This window comes from Homo sapiens, chromosome 14, assembly GCF_000001405.40.
Source record: "Homo sapiens chromosome 14, GRCh38.p14 Primary Assembly".
Classification (NCBI taxonomy): Eukaryota; Metazoa; Chordata; class Mammalia; order Primates; family Hominidae; genus Homo; species Homo sapiens.
Genome location: NC_000014.9, coordinates 83,039,646 through 83,040,176, shown reverse-complemented (window position 1 = coordinate 83,040,176; position 531 = coordinate 83,039,646).

The following is a 531-nucleotide window of genomic DNA, read 5'->3' as shown; positions in this document are numbered from 1 at the left end:
AACTTATGCTATAGGTAGTGTATATAGGCATGAGTAAGTAAGCCTGACTAATCTTTAAGACTTGGTCAACCTGCCGGGCTTCAGTGTGGATGGAATAGCCCGGTGAACACATGCCGTGTAGTATAGTTTAGATATGTATCCCCCGCCAAATCTCATGTCAAATTGTAATCTCCAATGTAAGAGGTGGGGGCTGGTGGGAGGTGATTGGGTCATGTGGGTGGCTTTTCATGAATGGTTTAGTACCATCCTTTTGGTGCTGTTCTCACAATAGTGAGAGAATTCTCATGGGATATGGTCATTTAAAAGTTGGTGGCATCTCCCTTTTTGCTCTCTTGCTCCTGTTCTGGCCAGGTGACTGTGCCTTCTACCCTTTTGCTTTCCACCATGATTGTAAGTTTGCTGAAACCTCCCCAGAAGGTGCACAGATGCCAGCATCATGCTTTAGTAGAGCCTGCAGAACTATGAGCCAATTAAAACCTCTTTGCATTTTAAATTACACAATCTCATGTATTTCTTTCTTTTTTTAAAAAC